General features: G+C 42.6%; 1 protein-coding gene across 8 annotated transcripts in view, besides 1 other annotated feature; it reads right to left on the bottom strand.

Moving 5' to 3' along the window:
• Positions 1 to 14,668, bottom strand: part of AK5 (adenylate kinase 5) — a 277,948-nt gene that overhangs the window by 59,706 nt on the left and 203,574 nt on the right. For all 8 annotated transcript variants that reach the window (NM_174858.3, XM_005270739.6, XM_017001012.2 and 5 more), the window contains one exon: positions 13,909 to 13,953. In NM_174858.3, the coding sequence (NP_777283.1) occupies positions 13,909 to 13,953 (45 nt within the window). The remainder of the gene's footprint in view (positions 1 to 13,908; positions 13,954 to 14,668) is intronic.
• Positions 2,577 to 3,776: an enhancer, noted in NCBI's record as "BRD4-independent group 4 enhancer chr1:77962170-77963369 (GRCh37/hg19 assembly coordinates)". NCBI's record gives its function as "activates an origin of replication core promoter dependent on BRD2, P300/CBP, MED14 and CDK7 cofactors, and independent of BRD4, by STARR-seq in HCT116 cells {active_cell/tissue: HCT116}" and the evidence as "EXISTENCE:reporter gene assay evidence [ECO:0000049][PMID:35650434]".

Raw genomic sequence — 14,668 nt, 5'->3', positions numbered from 1 at the left:
TGGTTTTATTTATTTTGTGGGAAGGGGCCATAAAGACTTTATAAAGACTCCGCATTGATCCTTCAGGACCAGAGGAAGAGTTTCTTAGTTATGGTTAGTTCTTAAAAATAGCCATGCCTCATTGTTTTACCTCAAGCCTCTGCTCTTATCATTATGGCTCTGAGATGGTTATTACTGGAAGACAGATTAGTACATTTGCTTCTGATAATGGGTCTGTATTAGTCACACCTGAGTTTGAGGAACTTGGGGGGAAGTAACTTAATCTGAGCTTTCATCATTTTCCATTCATTCATTCTAAAGACATATACTGAATGCCTACTAAATGCCAGGCATCCTGATAGGTGCTGCAGAAGCAAACCAAAAAAAAAAAAAAAAAAAAAAAAAAAAAAATGGAAAAAGGGCATGGTCTCTGTCATCTAGGAGATTTAGTAAAGGTCACCTTCCAATCAACTGGCTATCACTGGCCTTCTAGCAAATCGTCCTCTGAAGAGGTTCCCAAGGGGTCTCTCTAGGAGTCTGATGGCTGGCCTCGGCCAGGTTTCTCACTGCTGAACATTCTCTTCCTTTCTCAACAGCAGATGTTGGAATGAGAGGCAGTCTCAGTGCTTGCCTCAACAGCTCCACCCAGACCATGCTGAGGACTTCCAAAAAAACCAGGGTGTTCTGCTTGTGGCTCTTCCCCACCAGCTTTCCCTGCATTGACTACAATAGTCCAAACAGGGTCATACGCAACTGGCCCAAATAGGTTCAATGCACTTTACACCAAGGTCGCTGGGCCGGTGGTGATGGGTGGATGCGTGGCAGTAACGCGTGATCCACTTCCTAGTTGAAGGGATTCCCTGCAGCCTGGCAGAACCAGGAGGAACATCTTCAGAGTCAGTGCCCCAGACAAATATGAGAAAAAATATCACCTGAGTCGCAGTAACATGTCACAGTAAAGCAAAACAGCTACACTCTGTTACAAGAGGAAAGAGTCCTTTTTTGCCTTAACCACCTGAAGGTTGGTTTAAATATGTTTTCATTTGCAGCTAAGAAAACACTCAGACTCCTGGTTCAGAGGAGCCTGGAGCAAGTTGGAAAGGAAATACTTTGTGAGTGTTACATTTGGAGGGCCAAAATAGTCACTGACTCCTTAATCACTGGCTTGTTACTCTGCTTCATTCTTCAAGGCAAAAAATGATCTCCTATGGTAAAATGGTCTCCTACAGGGCTGGGTTGTTGACAACTGCAAGAATGTGTCAGCTAGAGGAAATGGCAGCATATAGGCAAGTTTAAGCCCAGGGCTTCAGAGACACATTCTCATTTCAACTGATTGATCTCAGCCAACTACAGCTGGTTGTAGGTGAAACACCACTTAACAGCTCAGTCCCTTAGGGAGTGTTTAATTTTAACAAGAAATGTTGAGGAAGAAACATTGAGGAAACAAACAGGAATTTAACCTCTAAACTTCTGTTATGGTTTCCTCATCTTGTTCCTTTCCTTGTTCCAATTCACTTCTGAACCCATCCTCATCCTCCTTTTCTCAAGACTCTCTCCCTCTCATTGGATGTCTCCCTTCACTCTGCATAGAGTACCTACAGTGACAGGTAATGTTTGTATTCACTAGGAGCCCTGCTGCATGTGCTAACTCATTTCACTCTCCCATCAACCCCATGACCTAGACACAATCAATACTTCCACATGACAGGTGAAGAAACTGAGGAACAGTGAGTGGAAGGATGATGCCCAAGGTCACACAGCTGTACATGTAGGAGCCGACATTCGAACTCATGTAGTGTTGCTTTTGACTAGAGCCTGTAATGCCTCCCTCTTTATAAAAATGACCTTGAGTCTCTCGTTTTAAAAATATTCCACCCTGAATATTCACTTTGCTTTAAACAGTCTCTTTCAGACTCTTTCAGAGTCAACTTTCTTGAAAGTGTTGTCTGTACAGATCCCCATTTACTTACTTCCTAGTCACCCGTAACCGTCTGGCTTTACCCCTTCCCATTCCTCTGGAACTGCTGTCACCAGTCACCAATAACTCACCTGTTGCCAAACCCCACAGACAATTTTCATTATACTTTAGTGAACCTTTCCCAGAAGAAAATTTTCCTCCCTTGCCTGCTGTGATGCCATTTGCTCTAGATATCCCCCTTTCCTCCCTGTGCTCTTCTCCTCTGGCTCTGGCAGGGCTCTTGGGAAGGTTTCAGGTCTTAGCTCTCTTCCAGCCTCACCCTCCCTAAGTTCACTGGGTGACTTCTTGCACACACATGGCTTCACATCTGTGTCTATAGCCAGAACTTGTATTTTTGGTGTCAGCTGTGAAAAATCTCTTGTTTAATGTACATCACTGCTTGGATATCTCATAAGCATCTCAATCTTAAGATGTTTAAAACTGGCCAGGTGCAGTGGCTCATGCCTGTAATCCCAGTGCTTTGGGAGGCCAAGGCAGGTGGATGGCTTGAGCCCAAGAGTTCAAAACCAGCCTGGGCAACATGGTGAAAATACAAAATACTCTACCAAATAAGCCGGGCGTGGTGGTGCGTGCCTGTAGTCTCAGCTACTCCGGGGGCCGAGGTGGGAGGATCACCTGAACTTGGGAAGTCGGGGTTGCAGTGAGCCATGATTGCACCACTGCACTTCAGCCTGGGTGAGAAAGGCTGACAACAACAAACAAAAAAGTTTAAAACTAAACTCATCTGTCTCTCAAACTCTATTTCTTCTGCAAATTCCTTCTCTTTGCATGGCACTTCTGTCTCTGGAATTGGTTCCTTCCAGTGGGTTCTTGGTCTCACTGACTTCAAGAATGAAGCCACGGACCCTCGTGGTGACTGTTACAGTTCATGAAGATGGTGTGTCCGGAGTTTGTTCCTTCACATGTTCGGATGTGTCCGGAGTTTCTTCCTTCCGGTGGGTTTGTGGTCTTGCTTGACTTCAGGAGTGAAGACGCAGACCTTTGCAGTGAGTGTTACAGCTCTTAAAGGTGGCACATCCAGAGTTGTTTGTTCCTCCCGGTGGGTTCATGGTCTCGGGGACTTCAGGAGTGAAGCCGCAGACCTTCGCAGTGAGCGTTACAGCTCTTAAGGGTGGCACGTCCGGAGTTGTTTGTTCCTCCCAGTGGGTTCGTGGTCTTGCTGCCTTCAGGAGTGAAGCCACCAGTGAGTGTTACAGCTCATAAAGGCAGTGCAGACCCAAAAAGTGATCAGCAGCAGCAAGATTTATTGTGAAAAGCGAAAGAACAAAGCTTCCACAGCATGGAAGGGGACCCCAGTGGGTTGCTGCTGCTGGCTGGGGTGGCCAGCTTTTATTCCCTTATTTGTCCCTGCCCACATCCTGCTGATTGGTCCATTTTACAGAGTGCCGATTGGTCCATTTTACAGCGTGCCAATTAGTCCATTTTACAGAGTGCTGATTGGTCCATTTTACAGAGTGCTGATTGGTCCATTTTACAGAATGCCGATTGGTGCATTTTTACAGAGTGCTGATTGGTGCGTTTACAATCCTTTAGCTAGACACAGAGTGCTGATTGGTGCATTTACAATCCTTTAGCTAGACACAAAAGTTCTCCAAGTCCCCACCCAACCCAGAAGCCCAGCTGGCTTCACCTCTCACTTCCATCCATGTGGCTGTCTAAACCAGCTGCTTCTGAGACATGCTCAGGTCCTTTCATTCACCTGTTCCCATAATGGATCTTTATGGTCCATTGATTCTGCCTCCTAAATCTCTTGGATCTGCTTTTCTTTTTTCACCTCAACTGTCTCCTTTTTCCTTACCTGAATGACCATTCTGATGACCTTGGCTGACCTCCTGCTGAAGCCTAGGCTTCCTGTCCTGGTTGGCAGAGTGCTCCATCTGAAGTTGGAAGCTGATGATGTGTCACTGAGTAAAAGCCTTCATGGCACCTCACTGCCACAGGATGAAGTTCATACTATCTCTCCTGGGATCACAGTCTCTCATGACCCAGATTTTGCCTTGTCTTCAGCTCTGCTCTTACCACTTCCCATCCATCTCATCTCTGAGGCTGCCTCCTGCACACACCATTCCCTCAGTCCTTGCCTTAGGCTCACCCCCACTTTCTTCCCAGTTAGCACTTGGCCAATTCCTTTTCTTCTTTTGGACTCAGCTCTGACTTCCTCTCTCAACTCTGATCCCTACTTCAGTCTTGCTCCCCATTGCCTGTGCCTCTGCCATTGCGTGTGCCAAGCTGTGCTATTTGTTGGCTTCCTCCCTACAACATGAGCTCCTTTAGACTGGGAAGACTTGCCTTTCATCTTTGTATCCTTAGGCTGCCATTTTGCTGATATATAGTAGAAACTCAATAAATGTGTCAAATGAACTAACAAAATTCACCCAAAGCCATATATACCTAACAGATGAATGTACTATAGCAGAGAGAGAATATCTTTATCATGTGGGGAGTTTAAGCACCCCCCTTTAAGTCTATATATCTGCTTGTGTAGGATTTTCCCCCTCCACCTCCATACTAGGCCACTGTTTGAGATCAGTATACAGGGGAGCTTCTCCATCCCACCCACAGAGAAAATCTCAGCATGACCAGGTTCCCTCAGACCCACTCAGCATCACACGCTCAAACACTTGCTGATTGCTGCCAATGGCCCTCAGAAGTAGTTTTGGCAGTGCTCACAAAACAAGTGCCTATGCTATTTCTTTACGGTAAAAGACATAGCATAAATTCTAAAATCACTGTACTTTCAGTGATGGTTTAGGGTACTTTTATGGGTTCAAATTGTTTCCTGTTTTGAAGTTAAAATGGAATTTTACATACTTGAGAGAAACATGGCTGGGGTAGACAGAGGTCTTTGTCATTAATATTCACTTGCTATCGTATTTGACCTTTGTTTTCAGACACCAATGGCTAGATACATAGGCGCAAAGTAAAACAGAAAATTGCAGTACTTATTCAAATAATTATGGCAAACGTCTCTCACCCACTATATTCCCACAACTTCACCTACATTTTGGTTTCCTTGCTTTTACAGAAACTTCTAGAGCATGGGCTTTGATGTCTGAGAAACTTGGGTCTGAGTCTCAATTCTGTCACTTATTAACTGTGTAACCTTGGGAAAGTTATTTAACCTTTTTGAGCCTTGATTTCTTCCATTTCTTCCCTGTAAAATGGGGAAGAATATGAGTGCTGATGACTGGTGTGAGGATTAAATAAGATACTGCATATGGGGGCCGGGTGCGGTGGCTCACACCTGTAATCCCAGCATTTCAGGAGGCCGAGGCAGGCAGATCACGAGGTCAGGATATTGAGACCATCCTGGCTAACATGGTGAAACCCCGTCTCTATTAAAAATACAAAAAAATTAGCCGAGCGTGGTGACGGGCACCTGTAGTCCCAGCTACCCGGGAGGCTGAGGCAGGAGAATGGCGTGAACCTGGGAGGCGGAGCTTGTAGTGAGTTCAGATAGAGCCACTGCACTCCAGCCTGGGCAACAGAGCAAGACTCCGTCTCAAAAAAAAAAAAAAGATACTGCATATGAAGACAGCACAGTATCTGGAACACAGTAAGTCACCAGTATATGTTAGTTTTAATCTTGCTATTAGGTAATAAAAATGAATATTTTAGGCTAGAGGATGGGGTTTTTGACTTATTTAATTGCCTTCATGCTTCACTTCCTTGGGCTATGTCTCTGTTGTACAAGTTTCCAATTAAGAGAACAGTTAACAATGTGTTAACTTGTTAGTCGCTCAAATTTGGAGTTGACAGAGATTTTGTTATTTTAAAAGAAATCCAGAGGAGATAAGGGGTTGGCCCAAGGGTACACAGAACTTGGATACAAACACAAGACTTTGGGTATTCTCTCCTCTCCAGTGCTGGGGCCTGCTAGATCCTGCAGCATCTGCTACTGCCCCCTGATCATTCAGAGTGGCTCTCTAAACAAGCAAAAGAGGCTCTCAGTGAGTCAGCCTGGAGATGTCCCTTAACTCAATTGCTAATCAATAACCAGGATAACACAGACAAGGAACATTGGCCATTTCCTTGAATACACTTAGCCTTTAGTGAACAGGCCAAATACCTAAAACTTCATCAGGTGACTCAGCTGGTGAATTAATAGTGCTTCCAAAGATTTCAACCAATGGGTAGGGACACAATGAGTATGAGGCCTCCATTCCCTTTACTGGTAACCTCATGTACTTGGGCTCTTTTCTGTTTAGCAGTAATTTGCCCTTCTAGATGAGTCCTAAATTCCTGCCATGTCATGCAGTGTTGCAAGGACTGTTTTATGTCTTTTTGAATTTCACGGTTCTTTGACCATAATAAGCCCTTGATAAAGGCTTATTAATTTGCTTTGATTAAATGAAGAATGCATTGCATTCTAGTTCAACATTACTTGGAACCCTTTTGCAGTGAAAAGGTTTGTATCATTAAGTAGGTTCATTGTCACCACAAAATGCCCACATTTCTCCAACATTAGAAAGATATCTCATTAGTTGGTAAATGCATTTGAGGGTCTCTTGGAAAGTAGTCCAATGTCTCTTTTTCTTTACTCTACCATCCTGAATGGCCTGGACTTTGAAAATACAGGTGTCGGGCCTGGAAGAGTGTGAAAGAGGCCCTTGTGTCTGCATCCCTTCAGGAGAGAAAGAACTGTGGAGATCTGGTGTCTGTGTTTGGAGCTGGAACAGTGCTCCAGTTGGGCCAGGCCAAAGGCTGGAGAGTCAGATGGCAACTTATTTTGTAGGTGATCCCAGCTGTATGTGTCAGGGTTCTCCAGAGAAACAGAAGCGACTGGACGTATATATCCTGTTGCTTATTATTCCCATTATAAGCCCATATATACATATGGGCTCATTATGAGAATTGGTTCACTCCATTATAGAGGCCAAGGAGTTCCATAATAGGCCTTCTATAAGCAGAGGAACAGGGAAGGTGGGGGAGTATAGTTCAGTCTGAGTCCAAAGGCCTGAGAACCTGGGGGGGGCTGCTGGTGTCCAAGGGCAGGAGAAAATGGATGACCCAGCTCCAGAAGAGAGAGAGCAAATTCATCTTTCCTCGGCCTTTTTGTTCTAGCTGAGCCAGAACAGATTGGATGGTGCCCACCCACACTGGTGAGGGTGGATCTTCCTTACTCAGTCCACTGATTCAAATGCCAATCTCTTCTGGAAATACTTTCACAGACACAGCCAGAAATAATGCTCTACCAGCTAGCTGTGTATCCCTTAACCCAGTCAAGTTGACACCTAAAATTAACCATCACACCTGCCCCTAGCTCATGAGCTGCCCGATTTCACTTCAGAGTGGAAACACAATCAAATCCAGTCTGGGTTTTCTTAGTCCAATCCAGTGATTTCTGATAACCTTGATAGTCCAGTTCAAAGTTCAGTCTCCATGTCAGGGCCATTCTCCCACCTTGCAGGTTTTCTTTGCCCTCCCTTCAGTTCTCGTTCTTCCTGGTGCTGTTGCTCCCCTAGGCTGTACCCCCTCCACCTTCCATCCAGCCCCCTGCTTTGGGACCTCCTGCTACAGTCCTCTTTGTCTTCTTCTGACAAGTGCACAGACTTTCCTTTTAGTTATCCCTTGCACTACTGGGCACAGAGAAACACTCAGAACTTTTTCCAGGCCTACAGGAGCCCAGAGAAACAGGGCTTTCAGCAGATGCGCTATTTTCCCCCTGACATCTTCCTCACATTTTTGAGGTTATTTGCTTGGAAAGGCACAAGGAACTTTTTCCCTTTGAGATCCCTAAGTGCTAAATCTGGGGTTTCTCTCTGTCCTATGTATGTGCTCAACACACCCACCCCAACCCCCAAGTAACCCCATGGTGGTGGTTCTCAAAGTGTGGTCCACAGACATTAGAGGTCCCCTATATTCATTATAACACTAAGAGGTTATTAGCATTTCGGAGGTGGTGCAGAAGCAATGGTTGTAAACCTGTGGTGCACGGCAGCAGTGTTATTAGTCCTGCTGTACTAGTTGTGTGCTTCATTACCATGTACTCACAGTAAAAAACAGAGAAAAGAAAGAAAATGCCAATGTTACATAAGAATGCCCTTGATGAAGCAGTAAAAAAGACACATTTTATTTAATTTTTACCCTTAAGCACACATCATTTTAATATTTTGTGTGACAAAATGGGAAATACGCATAAGGCCCTTTAGCACACCTATGGTTTTTGCTTTTGTTTTGGGAAAAGCACTTGTGTGATTATTTAAGTAGCTGAATCAGTTGCTTTTAAAAGTGAACACTGTATCTACTTTCTGAAAGAGCATCTAACAAACGAACTGTGGTTTTTTTCAGACTTGAGAATCTGGCAGAAATTTTCTTGAAAATAAATAAAGCCTGTCACTTCAAGAAAAAACAAAAACAACAGGCAGTGATTTTTGCAAAAATCCATGCTTTCAACCTCCAGATCCACCACTTAGTATCTAATAACTGAACTCCCTAATGTCTTACTTGAAAAATCAGGAGAGTAATAGTGCTTACTCCAGAAGATGGATAGGAGCATTCAATAAGATAACATTATAAAGTGCTTTATGTAGTGTCTGGTACGTGTTAACTGCTCAATAAATGTTGACTGCTATTACAGCTACACTGAGTTAAAATAATCCGAGTTCTTTCATATTTAATTTAACCAAATACGTGGGTCAATTCCATCAAAAGTGCTCATGTTAAGCAGCAGGTAGATACTTTAAATAATCAATTCATGGCTGAGCACGGTGACTCATGCCTGTAATCCCAGCACTTTGGGAGGCCAAGGCCGGTGGATCACGAGGTCAGGAGTTCGAGACCAGCCTGGCCAACATGGTGAAACCCCGTCTCTACGAAAAACACAAAAATTAGCCGGGCGCCATGGCAGGCGCCTGTAATCCCAGCTACTCGGGAGGCTGAGGCAGGAGAATCACTTGAAAACAGAAGGCGGAGGTTGCAGTGAGCCGAGATAGCACCACTGCACTCCAGCCTGGGAGAAAGAGCAAAACTCCATCTCAAAAAAAAAAAAAAAAAAAATTCAATTCATGTTTTTTTAATAATAAGGCAATAATGAAATGGCAACATGGCTATAATGAAATAGTGCCAGGCATTGCAATATTGAGTTTTAAGCAAAAATTCTTATTACTCCAGTTTTCCTTAGGAAAATAGATAGGACTATTTTTGTAGTGGTTAAAAATGCACAAATTAACATAAAATATTGCCAAAATACCTCCCAAAGTTCACTACTTAAAAACAGTTTATCACAGCATCAATGCCAATGTACACCAGGCCACGTGTGTCCCAGACACATTGAAAGCTATGGCCTTTGAATGATGTCTTGATCATTATGTTGTTAATACCATACCTCACCTGAAAAGTCAGATGTGTTTCCCAAATTGGAGCACTTCTACCCAAGCTTTGGATATAAATTAGTAGGAATTTAGATTATGTCACATTTTGGGCATAGGCAGGCAATGAAAAATGGAGAAGGGAAAAAGACGCCAGAATAAATGGGCTCATAGCAAAATAATGATCAAGAGATTTAAAAAAAAAAAAAAAGAAAAAAGGAAAGAAATGTACCAGAAAAGGTTGTGAAAAACTGTAGGAACCTGTTAGTGGGACATAATGAGGCCCTTTAAAGGCTATTTTTACATTTTCCAAATAATTTTCAGTTTTCAGAAGTGATTGAGCTCCTGTCTTGTATATCAGTGCAGGTTCTTATATCTTGTATGTGAACAACTGAAGTCCATAGAATCTTTTTCAATCCTTTGGATCATCTGGTCCTACCCTGTGGGAATCCCTTCTTTGTTTTTTGAAAAGTATTTCTTTATAAACAGCTACTGAGCTGCTTTCTTCGGGAACAAGAATATATAGTCACACATTATTCAAAGGGTGGACTGGGTCCGTCCTTGCCACCTTCCCCTTTGGTGCAGATGGTACACTTGCCCTGAACATTTTTTCCACTCAGATGACCATCAGGGCTATCACCTGCTCCCACCTGTGACTACTGCCCTGCAAATGAGCAAGAAACAGCACCAGCTCAGGGGAAAAGTTGCTTTTGCTTGCTCTCAGTGAGAGGGTAGCAGCTTCATGGAGAAAGGAGCATCTGATTAGGCTCCTAATTAACATGAAAACCATCCTGCAAGAAACAGCCACAGCAGCAACAAGCTGCTTGTCAGTTCTAGGCCAGGAATTCCAATTGCAATTTTGGTTGTTATGGAAACAGACCACACTGCTTCTTAAAGAATTCATTATTCCAACAAATATTTGTTGTTCTAGTCATTAAGTAGTACCCAAATGAATGATGTAGACACAAGGGAGGAGGAGCGCAGAGGAGGAAGGATGGTGATTACAGCGGAGTTCTCAGGGAGCTAGAACTTAACCCTGACCTTGGGGCATGATTAATAGGGGAGAAGACATTTCAAGTGAAAGGGCTGGCAAAGTGCGACAAGCTCAAGCGATAATAAGGATGCAGGTGTGGCTGGAGCCAAAGATTGACATGGGAGTGTGGCGGGAAATGGGAAAGACCAGAAGGCCAGTCTAAGAAGTCTGGACCTTTCTGTGGACAAAAAGGATCTAATGGATATGTTAAAACAGGGGAAGAATGCTTTAGGCATATTAATTTTGTCTTAAGGCGAATAGTGAGGATGTCAACCTAGACTCTGGCTAATACTGCAGCCCCAATGTTTTTCGGGTATATGCCAAGACAATAATTTGAAAAGTGACAATCCAGTCATCTTCTCAAATAGACAAAACCACTCTGTTTCACTGAAAGTGAACTCATCAAAACAGCTATGGGTGTGTCTATGACATCTGGAATATTTTCATAAGGTTAAATTGACTTACAATAAAGCAGTCCCAAAATACCATTCTGCCACCTGTCAAGGACATATTTAGAACTAAGGCCTTAATTCTCAGAGTTCAGTATGTACAGTAGAAGAAGAGCAGTCGTTTTCCCTTGTATCACAGTGGCTTTGTACCTTCTATGGCCCAAACAGCAAGCTGAAATCTCTTTTACTAGAAGAGTGACTGATCAGTAAATTGAAATACAGGAGAGTTTTGTTAGATAGAAGAAAAATCTTTTGCTCAGTGCAGCAATTCTTAGAGGGTGGTCTGTGGACCCTTGGAGGTTTCGAGCTTTGTCTAATTCCAAAGATCTTCTACTGTGCTGTTTGACCTTTTGAAGGGCACAGGACTTAGTAACAGGTGAGGTCTTTAGTTATGCCTAGAGAGAAGGAAGTGGCATTTGACAACGCATTTCACAGTTCAACTGTGAGTGTTAAACAATGGATAAATCTGAAGTAATATTACTGCCAAGACAGTAACAACCACCACAAAACATACTGTATTATTTTTGGAAGCTTCTTTGGACCACATTATTAAAAACACAGATTTCTATGTGATAATAAAGGGCTCTGTGATGGTTAATACTGAGTGGACTTGATTGGATTGAAGGATACAAAGTATTGATCCTGGGTGTGTCTGTGAGGCTGTTGCCAAAAGGGATTAACATTTGAGTCAGTGGTCTGAGGAAGGCAGATCCACTCTTAATCTGGTGGGCACAATCTAATCAGCTGCCAGCAAATATAAAGCAGGCAGAAACATGTGAAAAGGAGAGACTGGCCTACCCTCTCAGCCTGCATGTTTCCCCCATGCTGGATGCTTCCTACCCTCAAACTCCAAGTTCTTCAGTTTTGCGACTCGGACTGGCTCTCCTTGCTCCTGAGCTTGCAGACAGCCTGTTGTGGGACCTTGTGATCACGTAAGTTAATACTTAATAAATTCCTATATGTATATATGTATTCTATTAGTTCTGTCCCTCTAGAGAACGCTGACTAATACAGGCTCCTACTGTGAATTCCTAGCTGTCAAGTTTAAAGGGTCTCCCCTTTTCCTAACTTGGCTCCTAATATAAAGATTGAATAGAAAATATAAGACTCTGTATGGTCTGGATGCCAGGAAAATTGATTATTAAAACTTATGTGGAAAAGGGAATTTTAGTAATCTATAGCACAACTAATTTTCCTTTGCAATTATGACATTGGGTTACTCTTCAATAAGAGATATAAGCAATATATAGTTTTACTTTCTGAAAAAAACGTAAAATAAGTGTGGGAAGAGTCCATCCAGTTTCCACAGTTAAGGTCAGCTAGAGGTAAGCAGATGACAACTGGAACTAAGGTAGGTCTCAAGAATTCCCACTGCTTGACACATACTGTTCTCTTTGCCTCCTCTCACCTCCCATTCATCCCTTCACTGGGCCCATCTCTCCTTTTATCTCTCTGCTTAAATGTTACATTCTTAGGGAAGCCTTCCCTGGTCACCCTCTCTAAAGTAATCACCTAATTTTACTCCAAACACTTGACCCAGGTTGTTCCCTATTTCAGCTCTTTGGTTCCTTCCTAATACTTTTCAAGGTTAATGATATATCCATTATTCTCTTCATCTAAGATGGCAGCTCTGTGACTCCTCACTGCCCAGCAGGGGTCCAACAGTCAATAAGCATGTGTCAGATGGCTGAATGTGTGAGACAGCTTGCGTTCAGGTTAACAACCAACACAACTGAGTGGCAGAGGAGGGAGAAGCCTGGAGTGAGGAACTACAGTCAGAGACCCTGGTCCTCTCCCTGATACCAGTTAATTGAATGACTGTGATCAGACCCCTTAACTTCTCTGGGCCTCAGTTTCCTCATCTAACAATGAGAGAACTTTACCCAGAGATTTCCAAGGAGGCACTCTGATCTTAACTTGCAAGAGTCTTAAGTTTATCTGATTATATTTCTGTAGTGTTGACAACCATTCTTTTCCCACTCATTGAGGAGGTGTGGACCTTTTCATTATTTCTGAATATAAATAGACATTTTCTGGAAAATGTACAGGTAGGTGTACTAATTTTTTGAGGCACTTGAATGATTAGAGGAAAAAGTACTAAGTTTTGAAAGGATAATATTTGTCCTTTTTTTATGCATTTTTAACTACTGCACAACTAGTTCCCTTTATTTCCATGAGGAAAACTGGAAATCTGGCCCTCACACACTCATTAGCTTCATAATCTTGGACAAATTCCTTAACCTTTGTGAGTCTCATTTTTCTTGTCTATGTAATAGATATGTAATAGGAATAGACTAGGTAATGGGATTGTATAAGGATTAATTGAGATAACCTGGAGCATAGTGGGTGCTCAGAAAATGTTGGTAAACCTCAAACACATTTTCTCCCACAATTAATCCATCAATAAGTTTCACTGTACTAGAGCAAAGAGCAAATTAGATAGTTTTTACTGTTTGCTGTATAGAATCAGGATCTGGCTATTGAGCTATATTTGAACATGAGGCAATTGATGCATTCAGTTTAGGAAGGAGGGGGTCAGTGTTTAAACTGAAAAGATGTGTGTTAGATTTTAATACATGACAACCTCTTACCTTTTTAATGCACTTTGTTATTGTAGAGCTAAACTCAGAAGTTTGACATTCTTTCAAGCCCTACTTTTTCCATGCTGAAAAGATACAAATCCCAAAGCAATATACAACTGCATACGTGAAAGAAATAACCGGAAAACTTGGGGTACTATTTTGACCAAAAAGACTTCAAAACAGGATGAGAAATAAATAGTCTCTTTCACTACCAAATTCCTTTTTTTTTTTTTTTGACAGAGTCTTGCTCTGTCACCCAGGTGGAGTGCAGTGGCGCGATCTCGGCTCACTGCAAGCTCTGCCTCCCGGGTTCACACCATTCTCCTGCCTCAGCCTCCCGAGTAGCTGGGACTACAGGCGCCCGCCACCATGCCCGGCTAATTTTTTTTTGTATTTTTACTAGAGATGGGGTTTCACTGTGTTAGCCAGGATGGTCTCGATCTCCTGACCTCGTGATCTGCCCGCCTTGGCCTCCCACAGTGCTGGGATTACAGGTGTAAGCCACCGCACCTGGCCCACTACCAAATTCTTATTATTAGCAATTGTATTGTTAGAAAATGCAAGGGCTGTTACTCACCAATTATGAAAATAATTTTACACTTTCTCAAATCTTCCATGAAACCTTTAAAATAAGAATAACTTAAGTTATTGGCAAGAAAAACTGTACTGAAGCCCTGGTTTTACTCATATTATATAAAAACCCAAACCTTGTAGTTTTATTTGATAAAAAGCTTGAAGTTGAATAAATGTGTGAATAGGCTACAATTAGTAGGCACCAATGACCATTTCAGTGTTTTTGTTTGTTTGTTTGTTTTTTGAGATGGTCTCACCCTGTTGCTCAGGCTGGAGTGCAGTGGCTCGATCTTGTCTCACTGCAACCTCCACCTCTCAGGTTCAAGCCATTCTCCTGTCTCAGGCTCCTGGATAGCTGGGATTATAGGCATGCCACCACACCTGGCTACTTTTTGTATTTTTATTAAAGAGGGGGTTTCACCATGTTGGCCAGGCTGGTCTTGAACTCCTGGCCTCAAGTGATCCACCTGCCTTGGCCTCCCAAAGTCCTGGGATTACAGGTGTGAGCCACCGTGCCCTGCTTATTTCAGTCTTATTCCCCCACCCCGGTAATGTATTTTTATTTTAACATGCACGATCAACTTTTGGTGGCAAAAATTTACGTCATTTAATAGCATGAATCACAAAGAAAGCTATTTTTAAAAATTACTTTTAAATCATCCTAACTATCTCAGTTTGGTGTTATTTCACATTTAAAACATTTGCTAAGCTTCCTTTATATACAGATGGTTAAAACACAAGTAGAGTATCTGGGAAATAATATT

This window comes from Homo sapiens, chromosome 1, assembly GCF_000001405.40.
Source record: "Homo sapiens chromosome 1, GRCh38.p14 Primary Assembly".
NCBI lineage: Eukaryota > Metazoa > Chordata > Mammalia > Primates > Hominidae > Homo > Homo sapiens.
The sequence above is the reverse complement of the archived record's forward strand: the minus strand, read 5'-3'. Positions and strand labels throughout refer to the sequence as shown.